General features: G+C 35.0%; 1 protein-coding gene across 6 annotated transcripts in view; it reads left to right on the top strand.

Moving 5' to 3' along the window:
• PTPRK (protein tyrosine phosphatase receptor type K) overlaps window positions 1–16,991 on the top strand; it is a 551,815-nt gene that overhangs the window by 291,559 nt on the left and 243,265 nt on the right. For all 6 annotated transcript variants that reach the window (NM_001291984.2, NM_002844.4, NM_001135648.3 and 3 more), the window contains one exon: window positions 9,945–10,119. In NM_001291984.2, the coding sequence (NP_001278913.1) occupies window positions 9,945–10,119 (175 nt within the window). The remainder of the gene's footprint in view (window positions 1–9,944; window positions 10,120–16,991) is intronic.

The following is a 16,991-nucleotide window of genomic DNA, read 5'->3' as shown; positions in this document are numbered from 1 at the left end:
GGAATAGTATTCCCTGAGTTCTTAGATGTTGATAATAGTTTTTTGTGCCCTTGATTCTTAAGTCAATTTCACAGTATATGAAATCTTTCATTCACATTTTCTTTAATTGAGTAACTTAAATAATGTTACTTCATTTTCTTTCACAGACAGAATAGGTACAGTCAGTCACTATAAAGCCTTGGTGTCTGTCTGTACCTATTTTTTCTAGATATGCAAATAATTGTTTCTAATTAATCTTACCAGAATATGTATCACAGTAGGTCACTCTGAGATACTGTCATCAGGTATGTGGTATTTTCTTTCATTATGTAGTTTATAAACTTTTTTTTTATTTTAGAAAATTTTTTGTTGTTGTTGTTGTTTTTGCTTTTTTTTTTTTTTGAGATGGAGTCTCACTCTGTCACCCCAGCTGGAGTGTAGTGGCGCGATCTCCGCTCACTGCAAGCTCCGCCTCCCGGGTTCACGCCATTCTCCTGCCTCAGCCTCCCGAGTAGCTGGAACTACAGGCGCCCACCACCATGCCCAGCTAAATTTTTTTTTTTTTTTTTTTGTATTTTTAGTAGAGATGGGGTTTCACCATGTTCACCAGGATGGTCTCGATCTCCTGTCCTCGTGATCAACCTGCCTCGGCCTCCCAAAGTGTTGGGATTACAGGCGTGAGCCACCGCACCCAGAAGTTTTTTAAAAAACTATGATTTGTAGTACTTTATCTGTACCCTTGATCCTGTAGAGACTTCTGTTTTCTCTGTTTGATCTTTGCCTGTCATCATTGATCACTTTCAAATATTTTTATTCTCCTTATTCTAAACATTAAAAATTACCCCTTTTTCACTCATTATTCAGGAATCATCTGTTGACTTTACTGTAGTTACTCATAATTTCTTTTTTTTCCCTCTCTATTTCTTTCTTTCTTTTTTTTTTTAATTAGACTTTAAGTTCTGGGGTACATGTGCAAAACATACAGGTTTGTTACATAGGTATACACGTGCCATGGTGGTTTGCTGCACTCATCAACCCATCACCTACATTAGGTATTTCTCCTAATGTTCTCTCTCCCCTAGCCCCCTATCCCCTGACAGGCCCCAGTGTGTGATGTTCCCCTCCCTATGTCCATGTGTTCTCATTGTTTGTCTCCCACTTATGAGTGAGAACTCATAATTTCTAGTAATTAATAATGATATTTCTTTAATTTCTAATTTTCCTTAATTGTCATTTCATTTCTGAGTTTTGTTGTTTAAGTTTATATTGTTTCATCTCATGAATCATTTCCGTAATATGTTTTAGCTTATCTTGAAATATTATGTTGCGGTTTTGATCTGTTTTATGGACATATTTTTCTGACTGACTTTCATTGACACTAAGAATTATACTCTGTTCCTTATTTTCTTTTAATCTTACAAAATCTATATGTGGGGTTTGATCTTGATACTTTTAAGTTATTCATTTTTATGTGAAATAAGTTTTCCTGAAGTTTTAAAATGAGGTGGGGTTCAGGAAACTTTACCTGATTTTACAGATTTCCCTCTTCTGTTGCTTTGAGTTATGTTTTAAAATACGGCAGCTTGCCTTTTGGGATTTCTGGGATTTCCCCACTTTTGTCTAGTCCTTCTATTTCCATACTCTCTTATTAGTCAGTCTGTTTTTATGTGGCAGGTTCAGAAAGATTAAAAAACTACGCTACTGCCATCAGCTTCCCAGAATCCCTCAGATCTGGTGGTTTCATTGCATTTGTCTTCTGACTTCACCCACCTTCCCTCTCACTCTATAAATTGCATGGTTTTATAGTTGTGGACTCATATGCATCACGTTTCCACTTTCTACAGTGCCGTTTGAAGCAACCAGCCAATCCCATTATGTTTCTTTGTTTGTTTCTTTGTTCTTGTTTCTTTGTTTGACTAAAATGTTCTAAGGTAGCAAATACATGGTTACCAAAACTTTGCCTTCCATAGATACTTGATTAGGAGTATATCTAAGAGTGATATTTTACATGCCTCTACTGCTGCATCATGTAGTGGACTAGTAGTGTCTTCTTTGCCACTGGCAAGAGAGGTTATAAGTACCTTTAAATCTAATCAGACTGAAAAATAAATTTCAGTAAACCCAGAATCAGAACCAAATCAGAAAGTTCATCCATAAAAATCTGATTCTCTAGAAGCACTTCTGGTCCTAAAATCATCTCTGTCCCTCTGGCCTCAAGAAAGTAAAGCAGAACCAGTAGGAGATAGATATGATTTTATTGAAATATATATATATATATATATATATATATATATATATATGTCTATATAATTATAAGATTACATATAGTAGGATTTTATTTACAAAATTGAAGAGATTTACTGCAAGGAATTGGTTTATGTGCTTGTGCAGATTGGCTAGGCAAGTCTGAAGTCTGTAGGGCAAGCCCTTGGGGAGGGCAGGCTAAAACATGCATGCACAGACTGAAGCTGTTGTTCACTGGTAGAATTTCTTCTACTTCGGAGAAGCCTCACCCCTGGTCTTAAAGCCTTTCAACTGATTCAATCCAGTCCACTCAGACTATCTAGGATAATCTTATTTACTAGATTATGGATTTTAAGTCCATTCACAAAATGCCTTCACAAGGTCACCTAGTTTAGTATTTAATGAAATAACTGGAGATTGTAGCATAGGCAAGTACACACATCAAAAGACTGACACAGTTATCAAACAGATTATTTGCTTAGATATTGTTTGGATTATCATCTTCATAATATTGTGATTATCAGAATTTGCTATGAATACCTTTGCACAGCAATCTCACAGAGTATTCTCATCATCTCTGTTGAATAAGTTGGTACAAATACATATACCCAATGTTAGATGAAAAGGTAGAGATTTGAGAAGTAATGAGAAATTGTTCAGCTCACAAATGGTTACTTCAGGGCTAGAAGCTGGGTATCATCCCCAGCAGACATGGTTCTGTCACTTACACCTGCTCTGTCCGTGTGGCTCCTCTTATTGGTCACCTTTTCTCTCCATTGCAAAGATACTCATGCTTCCTAGGGTGAAACTCTTTTTCTTGTTGAATAGCTGACTTTATATTTTGTTACACTTGATTAATCTGATTCTAGTATTTGCTATCTCCAGCACATCTTTACCCTGCTTTATTTCAGAATTATAATATTCACCACCTCTTTCTCTCTCTGTCAAATGGTATTCATTTACCTTCTTCCATCCTTCCATTGCCAGATAGTCAATAGTTTGAATTTATTGTCATTTCAGCATATTTTTTTTTTCTAGGAGAACACTATTTACTTACTCTAATGAAATAAGTATAATAATTTCTATGGCCATAAATAAGAAACAGTGCTTCTCTCAAAATAATAACATAGTATTTTTTAATTTTAGAAATTTCTAAATTTAAGTTTTCTGTGAAATACTTTCATGTTTTTAAAATTGTCTTTAAAATGATTTCATGTTTTTGGAATTATAGAATTATTTTGTTCTTCAATAATGGTGATTGTGATGATGATAGTATCTTTATCATCCTGTGAGACTGAAAAAAATTCATACAAATCTTATAAAGCAGACAAGCTCTAGTAAGGAACTCTCAGTTCCTTGGGATTAATTTGGCTGGAATGTTGTAAATTTCACGTCAGCCTCACTTGGTCGTAGTTGTGCAAATTCACTTTGGAATTCATTTTGACAACTCATATGCAGTCTTCTTGATGCTGTTCAACAGGGACCTAAATATCAAACATAAGAAAATAGGCTCTTTCTGAGTCCTACAATTTTAAGAAGATGAGAGAATCATATATCATTATGTCAATGACATATGATAGTCAATGATATATGAAAGTCAATGAAGAAATAAATATATAAATAAATGTAATTTGATTATTTTCAAGTCAATAGCCTTGAAATAATCTCGACATGTATTGTCAGTGCAGCTCTTTTTAGTCTGAAATGAAACTGGATTGATTTTATTCCTCAAACTTTGAAAAGAGACTCTGAAGTAAAGTGTAACATATTTTAATTATACCATATTTCTTTTAGGATACTTTCAAGCTGAAAGTAATAGAAAACCAAATGTATTATTTCATTTAACAAAAAGTCCAAAGAGAATTGGGCTCTAGTAATTGTTGGTGTCATTTCAGAGATTTGATAAGTAACTTCCTCTGTCTCTCTGCCTGATATGCCATCCTGAGTGCATCAGCATTTCCCTTAGACTGGACTGCCTTATGGTGATGAATCAGCTCTTCCAGGTTTTGGCATGACAGTAAGAAAAAGCAAAGGGAACCCATTTTCTTATGTCTCCTTAGAAGTGAGGAAACCTTTTTAGAAATAACTTGACCAATTCCTATCATATCTCCTTGGCCAGAATATGGACCGATACCCCATTTTAAAAACATGTCACTGTTAATGGAAAGAAGACTCAGGTTAACCTAGTGTTAATGGCCCAGTGTGTCTCCACGTGTAATATCTTGATGCAGATTTTGATACAATATATCTAAAGTGATCTCTTGACTCTTCATTTGTAACAATCTGCCAGTTGATGCTGATGCTACTGGTCTGTAGACCACATGGCAAGGTGTTTGGTTAATAGCCTGGCTGGTGAAAATAGATGTTGGAGAATCAACCTTTATTACCACTATATTCCACCAGGAATGAAACTTGTCAAATGAATACTGCATGCACTGTGCATGATGAAGCTGACTTAGTATAGTAGAGGAGAGGAGTGATAACATTGAGGATTATAGTGACTTGCCCAGGGTTACTTGGTAAGTGACAAGTTTTATCCAGCAACTTGTATTGGAGACAAAATAAATACAGAAGCCTGAGATGGATTGGAGGGCGGGATGGAAAGCAGGTAAAAAAAGTAGTGCTAGGTTATAATCCCTTGGATCATATATTTGTGTGATTCATTTTTCAGTACTTCTCAGAGGTGGGTATACATTTGCAATGGAGAAATCATATATAAAAACTCAAAGCAGAATAAAGAGCCTATAAAAGGAAAAGTTATTTTTGACTTCTAGAATTTAAATGTTTTCAATTGTTACCTTTAGCTCTAATGAATCGTTGGAAGCCAAGTAAAGAAAGCAATGTCTAATATAGATTATATTAGCCCATTGGAACGATGCCTTGATTAAACCTCAATACTAAATAATCAATTTGTTGGATAGGAACTGTAACCAAAATGAACATAACAGCTTTGGTTTAGTTTAGAGGAAAGTCTGCTGTATTTTAGGTCATCAAACCTAGTTTTGAATTTTAGTCCTGCTAACAGGCTATGTGCATCACATTTCTAATCTTTCTGAACTTTAATTGGATATGACTGTATCAGAAAAGTTCATAAGAGAGAGAAGCCACAGAACCAGTAACAGCTCACATAATATAAGGTACATGGAGGTGCTTATTAAATGATTATTGAAGATAAACCTGAATATTATGACTGTTAATTTTGTTATTTTATTTCAAGAAATAAATATCACATAAGTCTTTTGTACTCATTAATTATATAATATACATCCTATATAAGCATATGTATTTATAGTTATATTAGTATATTAATACACACACATATAAGCATCATGTAATATATCAGCTTGGTGATATCTTGCCTGGATGAGTTTAAGTATACCCCTCAGCCTCTCTGAGTTGTGGTATAATTATTTCTGAAATAGCTTGGTGTCAGTGATCTCTTGGTGTCCTTGAAATTCAATATTTTTGTAACCTCCCTTTATTATTAATTTGGATTGATGATTAATGTGTATTTTATTATAACTTAATAAAAGCCTAAGGAGGATTTATGTGACTCTTGTCTCTAAAATGTTCAGTGAATTTAATTCATTTTAACAAAGTACTTGAGCCACCCGCTAAATAAAGATAATATATATTAAATATTATGGAGGAAAAAATATATATAAATGAGACATGAAACCCTACCTTCAGAATGATTTCAGTATACAAACAGATGAAAAGACATTGATAAATATATCATAGTAGAAAAGATTTAAGATAGAAAAGTCAGTTAATAAGTTTTTATAATCTTTTATAGAGTTTTTGAGGCAGTATCCATGACCCTGTCAGCAGGAGTAGAAAGGGAAGAGTATATATGAGCTGATGGAATGCGAACTTGAGGCAGAGGGGAAGGAGCTAGATACCATAGATCAGGTCACGTGGAAATCAAGTAGGAATGTCTGCAAGTTTTTAATCTCCATTTTTAGATAACACAGACATTTTTCATAAGAACAAATGACCGATTTCTGCAAATGTCAGTAGTTTTAGAATAGTTGATAAGATAGTGCAAATTCAATATTGGCAATGCATAAACAATAGAAAGTTGAAAGAATCTGGAGCCCTTTCAGGCTAGAGAATGTCTCTTTGAAATGACTCCTGTAAAGATAAGGGTCACAAAATGAGGTCTCACTGCCAATGTAGAGGATTGAAGGAGTGAGAGACTGAATTGCACGGGCTGTTATGATTCGAGAGGAAACTGTCACAGCACAGGAACTTGGATGTTGTAAGGTGGTAAGGGAGGCTGTTGGGGATCACTGAGGCCAAAGTGAGTTTGAGGATCAATGGGAATATTCACAGGACTGGGTTAGGGAGGATAATTTGGTCTGTGAATATTCCCAGTGATGGGAATGATATGTGGGCACCCTGCGAATTCCAAAAGTTGAGAGGTGATTGAGTGGGAAAGTGGAAGAGTTGTCTTCAAGTTAGGAACCAGGAAAATGGTAGCTGTCCCTGAAAGAGGGTGTAAGGTACCATAAAATGTACCCTCCTTTGAGATAGTAGTGTTGTGAGAGGAATGCCAATAAAGGTGAAAAGATGGAATAATGATTATTGAGAAGGAAACATTAAGGATACTCAGAATCTCTTCACAAGAGAAGGGTTTTGAAAGGCATAGTGTGAGAAGACTTGAGTGGGTGTGGACATGTGCAAGAGAATTTGGAAGTCAGTACAGGCAGTGGGAATTGGCTAGTCGTGCAGAAGAACTGAGAAATACATATGGCAGGGAGCAAGGAGAGAGTTTGAGAACACACCTGGAGAGATAAGCTAGAGGAAGCCCAGATAAGGTTGTATAACAAAAGTAAGCAGCGTGGTGGGCCTTCCAATTAGGAAGATTGTATGGAAATGATGTGCTAATTGAAAAAAACGCAGTCTGAGGTTTGCATGTATAATTTTTTTTTTTGGTTTATGTGGTTTGTAGGGAAAGAGTTTTGGCTGATTTTATGGATTTATATTTTTGGATATAAGCTGCTTTTTCAGTTCCTTATTATCCAAGGGAATGAGTGGGGGATCTTGCTGCAAAAATCCTGAAATAGGTTGGTAAGCAGAGAAAAATTAACAAAAGTAATGAATAAAAAATAGCAAAATCCTGATTTGGATTTGATGTCCTTAGGTATTTTTGTATGCATATGCAGAAACATATATGTATTTACTACATAATATGCATATGCATGATTTAAGATATGGAGAAAGGTATTTAAAGATACAGTGTATTTGGGATTTAGAAAATTATTATTATTATTATTATTTTTTTTTTTTTTGAGACAGAATCTTGCTCTATCACCCAGGCTGGAGTGCAGTGGCGTGATCTCGGCTCACTGCAAACTCCACCTCCTGGGTTCACACCATTCTCCTGCCTCAGCCTCCCAAGTAGCTGGGATTATAGGCACCCGCCACCGCGCCTGGCTAATTTTTTGTATTTTTAGTACAGACGGGGTTTCACCATGTTAGCCAGGATGGTCTTGATCTCCTGACCTCGTGATCCAGCCGCCTCGGCCTCACAAAGTGCTGGGATTACAGGCGTGAGCCACCGCGCCTGGCCAGGATTTAGAAAATTATTAAAGCAATAGAGTATCCTCTTTATTATTTACTCTAAAAATATAATTTCAAATGTACAAAAAATCATAGAAAACAATAAAATAGCCATTAATGTACCACCACCCTAATTTAATAGAAGTTAACAGTTTATATTTTTGTCTCATGTCATCTTATCCTTAAGGAATTTTTAAATTAACATTTAAACATGCATACATGTAGTACTAATCAGTGGAATGCTGGAACCAATGAGTGCCAGAAATTTGTTAAGTTTTCAGGAACTTTGATATCACACTGATAAACTGAAGTTGCTATAGTGGAGTATTTACACCCCAGAAATGGACAAATACTACAAAATGGCATTTTATGTTTCTTGTTGGAGAACTAACAGTTCCAAATTTTACCAATACATTGCTGGTTTTTCCTTGCCTAGTTTAACTGTCCCATCGTATCTTACTGAATGAATAAAATTCAGTTTATTTATTTGCTACTCAGAAATATTTGGATATTTTCCATATTTCACAATCACAGATAATTTAGAGTTCAACATCTTGTACGTATCTCCTTGATCCCACATACACTGGTGGTTCAAATGTGGAAACCTAGAAGTAGAATTGCCGGGTCCTGAGGTTTATGCATCCTCAACTTTACTAGATAGTAACAAATCATTTTCTAAAGTCACTCTAGCAGTTTACACTTCCAACAGGAATGTTATCATTTTTGTTTCCCATATATAGCCCTATGAAGTGATATTTCAAGTAATATGAAAGATACCAGGGGTAGTTAGAATTTCACCAACAAGAAATGAGGTTGTGGATCATGACCAATTCTTTCTCAGCGTTGTGGGTTTTCTTTGTCCTTTTTGCTGTCTTTGACATATAGAAGTTTTAAAATTTAGATTGACAATCTCATTTCATGGTTGTTAGACATACACTTTCTCTTTTTTATACCCTATTCACTTTTGATTGAGTTATCTTTTTTTCTAATTGCATATAGAAGATCTTTACGTATTCTGGCTATTTATTCCTTGATGGGTATTTCCTTGACAAATGACTTATCACTATTTGTGACTTGTTTTTTCCCCTTTATATATGATGTCTTTGAACATATAGAGGTTATAAATTTTTTATAGTTGAATTTTTTTCAGTCATTTCCTATTAGTTTATACTTATTACTCTTGTCTGGGATATGCTGATATCATAAATATGGCTTCCAGTATTTCATTTTGAAATTTGACAGGTATGCTTTCAAAGTTTAGGCTCTTTTGACTAATTCTCTAAAATGTATAAATTGGCTGTCATTAATGCCAAAGAGAGAGTTGTTTGCAAAGAGTACAGATTTTGGTTTGACTCTAAATTATTCATCATTAGTTTATTATCATTCTGTGGCCAGCACATGCTACACATTTGGAATACAGAGATGCACAGGCAATGCTCTTACTCTTCTGGTGGGGAAAAACATACTACAGCACAGGCAATACAGCATAAGGGCTAAAAGAAGCTTGTATATATTACTCTGAGAGCATGGGGGCAATGAATCATTTGCCTTGGACCCATTAACTCTCCTGTTAATTCATTTACTCTGGTGTAGTAGCAATTTATGGAGAACTGAGAATTACTACCATAGTGTCAGCCCTACACCTTTTAGAGCAGGGGTCCCCAACCCCCAGGCTGCAAACTGGTACTGGTCTGTGGCCTGTCAGGAACAGGGCCACACAGCAGGAGGTGAGCAGTGGGTGAGCAAGCATTGCCACCTGAGCTCTGCCTCCTATCAGATCAGCTGTGGCATTAGATTCTCATAGGAGCACGAACTCTACTGTGAACTGTGAATGCAAGGGATCTAGGCTGTGAGTGCCTGTGAGAATCTAATGCCTGATGATTTGAGGTGGAACAGTTTCATCCTGAAATCATCCCCTCATTGTTCCATAGAAAAATTGTCTTCCAGGAAACTGGTCTTTTGTGCCGAAAAGGTTGAGGACCACTGCTTTCGAGGATACCAGTATTTACTTACATTCTTTTCCTGATTGACAATGGAAAAAAATTGTGGCTCTTTTGCAACAAGAATAATTTATCACAGATATTGCTTGCTAAGATGCTTTATAGATTTATGAAAATAGTAAGAACCTGTTTTTAAAGATTGGTTTCTGTTTGCAGAGACGAAATGGAGAAGATATACCAGTAGCCCAGACTAAGAACATCAATCATAGAAGGTTTGCCGCTTCCTTCAGATTGCAAGAAGTGACAAAAACTGACCAGGATTTGTATCGCTGTGTAACTCAGTCAGAACGAGGTTCCGGTGTGTCCAATTTTGCTCAACTTATTGTGAGAGGTAAGGTGAAATTGTTTTCACTTCACGAAATTGCATGGCTTTATTAGAACAAAAGCAACTCTGTAGATATTTTGATTGATTTTTAAACCATAGTGTTTCTGATGTCAAGTCACTATAAAAAATATATCATCATACAATTTCTCAGAATGTGTGAAGGTGAAATTAAGACTGTAGTTTGTAAAGTTTTTGAAGTTTCTAGTAAGTGTTTGCCATTGAAAGAAATCTATTTTATAATGCTCTAAGTGGACTAAATATATCAAATACCTTATTCCACATTGTCATCACCTCGTTTGTATTTTAACTTTAGATCTAGTTCTTCCCGTTTAAAACAGTTCTGCGGATACTACTTTTCTTTGAAGCATTGTGGCAATGAAGTCAAGGTCCAAGTTTCTATTTCCATATAGTCCTACAAATTTTACTGGTATCAAAACCCAATAGTGAATTTTCACTGATGCATGTCTCTTATAGAATCTTAGAAAGTTAGAACTACCAAACAGTCCTCACTAATATTCTTGGATACTAAAGTTACTAGAAGAATGTCAGGGATTATGACATATCAGTACATATTTGTAGTGAATACTGGAAAAGTACAAGTGCAAAACACATATTACATTCATTTAAGATGTATAGAGTCCCTCTTATATTGTAAGCACTGTTCTAGGTTGTAGATATTGGAGATACGATTGTAAATGTAATACAATGTCCCTACCCACATGGAGCATCATATTGAATTATGTTAGGCAGACTATATAGACAGGTGTTAAAAATGTAGTATCAAGTCATGGTATGGGCTATGAAGGAAAAATAGACACAAAACGATGGAAATTGATATTTTAGTTAAGGTGTTCTGGAACCAGTCTTAAGGTTACCACTCTGAGAAGGTAACAACTGAGCTGAAAGCTTAAAAATAAAAATAGAGACTTCAGCCATATGAAAATCTAGAGGTAAAGCAGCTCCGTTGAGTAGGATATCAAGCATCAATCAATATTGACACAAATGAAAATAATCGTAACCTGTTTAAGTCTCTTCGAGGAGAAGTGTGAGAGACTTTAGCAAAAATATCTAAACTGGGGCTGAGACTGTAAAACTATCATGGAAGGCATTTGCAAGTGAGTTTTCTTTGAGTAAGGATCTGAAGGTTGAGAGAAAGTTGCCCAAGTAGGGGTATGGATGTAGAGTCAGGGGCAAGAGAAAGAAACACCAGCAAGCAGAGAACACAGCACATGCCGAGGCCTACGGGCTGGAAGGAGAATATGAGATATGTCCATATTTTATAATGCTTGGCATCAAATATCTTTTACATATATTATTCAATATTGTCTTGTTTTTAATACTTTAACCTTTGATATTTTTAACGAAAAGAAATTTGAAATTCACACTTTATGATAATTTACCCAGAGCAAATTAAATCTAATGATTGACAGCCAGAATAGAACCCATTGTTTCTTGATTCTTAATGGTGAGCTCATTCTTTTCCACTACAGTTTTCCCTCGCATTACCATTATTGGATGATGCGATCAACCTCTTGTAAACTTTAGTCTTGGAAGACTCTATCACTCATTTTTTAAAAAAACTTTATAGATTAAATACGACTATTTTCAGTGTAACTTGTCTGATGTCTCCGTATTCAGCTCATATCACCTGCACAAGTTCATGAGATCCCAGTTTCAATTAAGAAAATATGATAGTATTTGACTTCCGTATTTAGGCAGAGAAACAATTTATCACATGTTCACACATGCATCTTTGTTAAGTCCCATTCCAGCATCTCTCTCACCTGAGCCTAATTTTGAAAGCCTGAAGGTGTCCTTGGGTAATCTTCAGGGTGATTAATATGCTATGGCTACAGGAACGTGGGCGTGCTATTGAATTATCATGCTCACTGGATCTTCTTTACCATATATGCGTTCACAATTTGCAACCAGTGAAGGAGATGGTATCTTAATAGTGTACCTAGAATGCTTTTGAATAACAGTGATGTATAATACATAGTTATATATGTTCTATATAGTTATCTATACATTTTTTTCCAGAAAAGTCACTCTTGATGTATTTCTCAAAAGATTGTAGAAGACCTGTTTATGCTTTTATCCAGGTGCTCCCTTTATATGTATAGTTTCTTCTTTCATGCGAACATTTTCTGCCTGTTTATTTTAAAAGAGAATCATTTTGTCATTACTGGATCTCTTTTGTTTATCTTAATTGATAAGTAGATTTTATTATTTTATCAAAGCCTGGTTTTCCTTACCTGGAGACAACTACATTACAATGCTCTTCCAGCAGTATTACTTGTTAAATTAATAATTATTTCAATAAAATTTATAAGAAAGAGGATCCTTAAATTTCATTGAAAATTTTGACCTTTTTTTTTTTTTTTTATTTTTCTGAGACAGAATCTCGCTCTGTCACCCAGGTTGGAATGCAGTGGCAGGATCTCGGCTTACTGCCCCCTCTGCCTCCTGGGTTCAAGTGATTCTCGTGCCTCAACCTCCCAAGTAGCTGAGACTACAGATGTGTGCCACCGCACCCAGCTAATTTTTGTATTTTTAATAGAGAGGGGGTTTCTCCATGTTGGCCAGACTGGTCTTGAACTCCTGACCTTGTGATCCATCCGTCTCAGCCTCCCAAAGTGCTGGGATTACAGGCATGAGCCACCACTCCCGGCCTTATTTTTCCTTTTTTTAAAGAAAGTCCTGCCATAAGTTTTGTGATTTTTATGTTGGAAAGGTTGAGTTGAAAGATGATGGCATTTTGAATTTGTTATCCAGAATCTGCTATCATTTTAGAAATATATTTTGATAGTTTTGACAATTTTATTTTTCTTTCAACACACTTTAGGTTGTTCTATATTTAATACGTACAGGTGATACTTTGCTTGCTGTTTTATTTGAAAACCAATACAGAGGAATAAGTTTTCTTGTTTGTAGAGATAACCACCAAATAAATATTACTAACCAAAAACATACTCTCGGGGGTCAGCTGTCTTGGTGTTGAAACAGTGCTGAGAATTAACTGTGCTGACAGGTCCTATCTCTCATTGGCACTTTTAAAGCTGACATCCTGTTACATGGATACAAAAGATGGTAATTTTAAAGGAAATTTTGGGGGCAGTGATATGAATAGTCTTTAATAAGAGCTGGCATGGTATTGCCTGTTGTCAAAGATGACCCAAGGGTAAGAGTTTATTAGTGCATTTTCTCCTAAACTGAAAGTGACAGGGCATGCTTAAGGCTTTTTTGTTGCTGTTTGTTACAAATGAAAATTTCATTGCAGAATTTTCATGCTGAAGAGTATTGATCTATGTTTTCCCACAGCCAGAAGAATAAAAAAAAGTATGGAGAAACAGAAATTACTTTGCTATGACTTTAGCATTGCTTCCTGATCATTTTGAATAACGATAATGTATTCAGCTTATGGAGGCCAATCTCTATTGACAAAGAAGTTTTTATAGAGATGAGATGCAGAGCAGATATTTTTGCTCAGTGTTTTACAAAATTGAAGTGTAAAAAATTTGAAATACAAGTCGAAGTAGTATTTATAAGCTTCAAACTGAATGCACCAAGCTTCAAACTGAAAGCACCAACTTTGTAATCTAATTATGCTACAGATTATTTTGCCAATCCTCACCTCAGCTGTGATCTCCTCCGTCTGTTTCCATCTGTCTAAACCGAAGACCCACTTACATCTCGAACCAGCTGACCTAAGTAAAACTTCTATAAAATTCTCTGATTCCTACACCTCACACTCAATTTCTATTGCAAATTGTTATAGTTTTATATCTATCATTTTTACCTGTGAAACTACAGTTACATTTTAAGTACTTCAGTTTGAAAGCACAGTTTTTGGTTTGTCATTGTTAATGGCTTGAGTTTTAAATTTTAGTGTCAATTACTAGTCATTATCAAAATGCTCTGGACACAGAAGTATTTAGTTAATATTTTAGTCTGTTCCTAATGAATAATAGTGACCTCTAGCTATAAATGGGGGTTAGTATCAATCACTTTACCTAACCTTACTCAGGGTAGTTACCCAACCTTATTCAGAGTTGGTGTTTAACATCATAAGAAATTCAAACAGATGTCATTCCGTTGTAAGACAATATAAACTAGCTTATACATAAGAATATTTACTAATTTTTGTGACTGGGTAGTACAGGATAGGCTTCAGGATTTGTTGATCAAGTCATTAAAGATCCACGTTCTTTCCAATTCTTCACTTTGTAGTCTATGATTTTGGCTTCTATCCTAAGCCAGGCCTACCACCTAGTCTTAGGAGAGAAATATGACTACATGCTTCCTTGGTCTTATCCAGTTAGGGATAAAGAGGGCAGTACCTACCACAACTATCAAAATAATAATAATAATAATAATAATAATGCATCACTGGTTATTGGATAAACAGCTAGTATGTCCAGTAGAGAGCTTTTGTACACAGGACTCCAGAGCGTAAACAGTGTTACTCAGAATTAGTTGTTTATTTTATTCAGATAAGATAGTAACTGAGGAAATAATGTCAAGAGAAGGTACAACTTAATCCTGAAGGACATACAGAGTTTGGAATATGGTACTATTGGAGAAGGGTGTTACCATACTAAGTCAAGTAACAGTATGAATCATAGGTAATCAGTAGGATCGTAGCTTATTTGGTCAATGGTGAACTGTTCATGGAATCACTTGCTTTATGTCAGTTATTTACTATGCATATGAAGAAGGAAAGCATTCAAAACCTATTAGAACTTTTCAGATTCTGCTTTTACTGTAATTGTAGTTTATGTCCTATCAGAGCCTGTCTTGTTCATCTTTGTTTGCTTCAGCACCTAGCACAATATTTACATGAAGAAATTCAGTACTTTTCTCAAAATCAACAAATAAAATTGTTTAGTTGAAATCAGAGGAGTGGGACTGACCCTGGCATATGTAGGGGATGAGCAATGAACCACATATTTCTTCTCACCTACAGATGGAGTCAAGTTTGCTGGCATAAAGGAAGTGATGATGACAATTGTGGTGTCTACACCAGACTCTTTCCTTTGTCAAGTGGGTTATTAAGGGTGACTTTTCAGTTTGGTGTAAATATTTTTCATTTGAAAAATAATATTGATTTGACCAGTATTCTATTCCGGTACTCTAATCTTTTTGTACATAAAATTAAATCTGAATTTTTTTGGTGTTTTTATATAAGAAGCAAGGTTTTGCTAGTTGGTGGCTAAGGGCCATGGAATTTCTAGCTTGAGACCTTTAGCAAGCTGTTTAATACCATGCAGTATTGATTTTTAACTAGTTTCCCTAGCACAGCTTTTAGGCTCATGAATTCATATAAAGATCCTTTTTCTTAATGGTGACTTGAGATCCCTTTTCTTCTATTGTGAAAACTGGTCATCTTGACAGGAAGTTTGGAATTATCTTGGAGAATGTAATTTAAACAGCTATGTTTTCTAAAAACTGAAATATAATGAACATTTCAGAACACACTGAATCACATACTAATTTTACCCCCCAAAACCCCTAAATATTTAAAAAAGCCCATGCAGCCAGTGGATACCAAATGTGTCAAATTTGGAGGAGTCTCCAAATCTCTCATATTTAAAAATTTTACTTTGCTCCCCTTGAGTATGATAAAAGAAACATTTGGAGTCTCCTCTCATTCATATTATCTACTTGTAATTCAGGTGATTCAGTGTTCAAGATGTCTGGTACATATTTAAATTCTAAATGAGCAAAAGAGTGCTAGATGTTCTTATTTCAGATAGTATATTTTGGTGCAACCAGAAACTAGACACTCATTTGAATTGTTCATATAGTCCATTAAACATACATTTTCAAAGCTGAAAAGTATTAAAAAAAAGATAGTATCTATGTTTATTTAAGAGTAGTAGAAAAATTATGGCTTTTAAATCTAATATGAATATTGACTGGGACTTCATATAATTACTGAAACTCTACTTGATCCACTTCTGTACACCATTATGCCAAATACTTTTTTCTATTAATTTTCTCCTTTTCTGAGTTTCCTTATAGCTACTCCATAAGGATAGTAAAGTGCAGCAGTTGTGTTTGTCAGATTGATTTTTTTCATTTTATTTATTTTCTTTCAGTTTGTTTTTAAAATAAAAATGCGATGAGAGTTCTTTCCCTAAAGGTTTCTCAGTTTATTTTCCTAGGCAATTTGTGTGTTGAGTGGGTAGGGTACTGGTCACTGCTCTTTGGAGTAAATATTGGGGGTTTGCTTTTGATGAAGCTTTCGTCTTAAGAATTTGAAAAGGATCAAAGAGGAAGCAGAATCATTTGCATCATTAATAATTATTTGTGCTGAACTCAAGGGAATTTTATTTCAGATTGTTGACAGTAGGCCTGTACACGTTTTCTAAGTTTCAATTCTCTTCTCTTGGAGTTTGTGATAAATGTAATTTGGACCCATTTCCGTCTACCAAGGGACTCCTATCTACTACATGGCCCGAGTGTCTTCGTAGTTTATATTCCCCTATCTGTTAATCATTTTTCTTTCTCTTACCCCAAACCAAAAATAAAGAAACAGTGTCCATTTGAACTAAGATTTTTTAGTCTTTCTGGGTTTATTTGCAACTTCATTGAAAAATCAGCTAGCAGCCTTTATTGAGTTCTTAATGAGGTAATAGGCAAGTGCATATTATGATGTTAAGTATTCAATAAAGACAAATGCCAAAAAAATCGCATACATAGTCTCAGTACTTAAGAATCTCATAATTTAATTCTATAGGAAATGTAGAATTATTGAGTATCATGACACAGAATTTTGACTTAGGTTTTGATTTTAAACTCTGTAAGAATAAAAAATGTTTCCTAACAAATAAAAAATAGTCTACCTATTTTCTAACTGCAATGAAATAGCAACT

The sequence above is a fragment of the Homo sapiens genome, chromosome 6, assembly GCF_000001405.40.
Source record: "Homo sapiens chromosome 6, GRCh38.p14 Primary Assembly".
Classification (NCBI taxonomy): Eukaryota; Metazoa; Chordata; class Mammalia; order Primates; family Hominidae; genus Homo; species Homo sapiens.
This window is presented reverse-complemented; position numbering and strand designations above follow the sequence as displayed.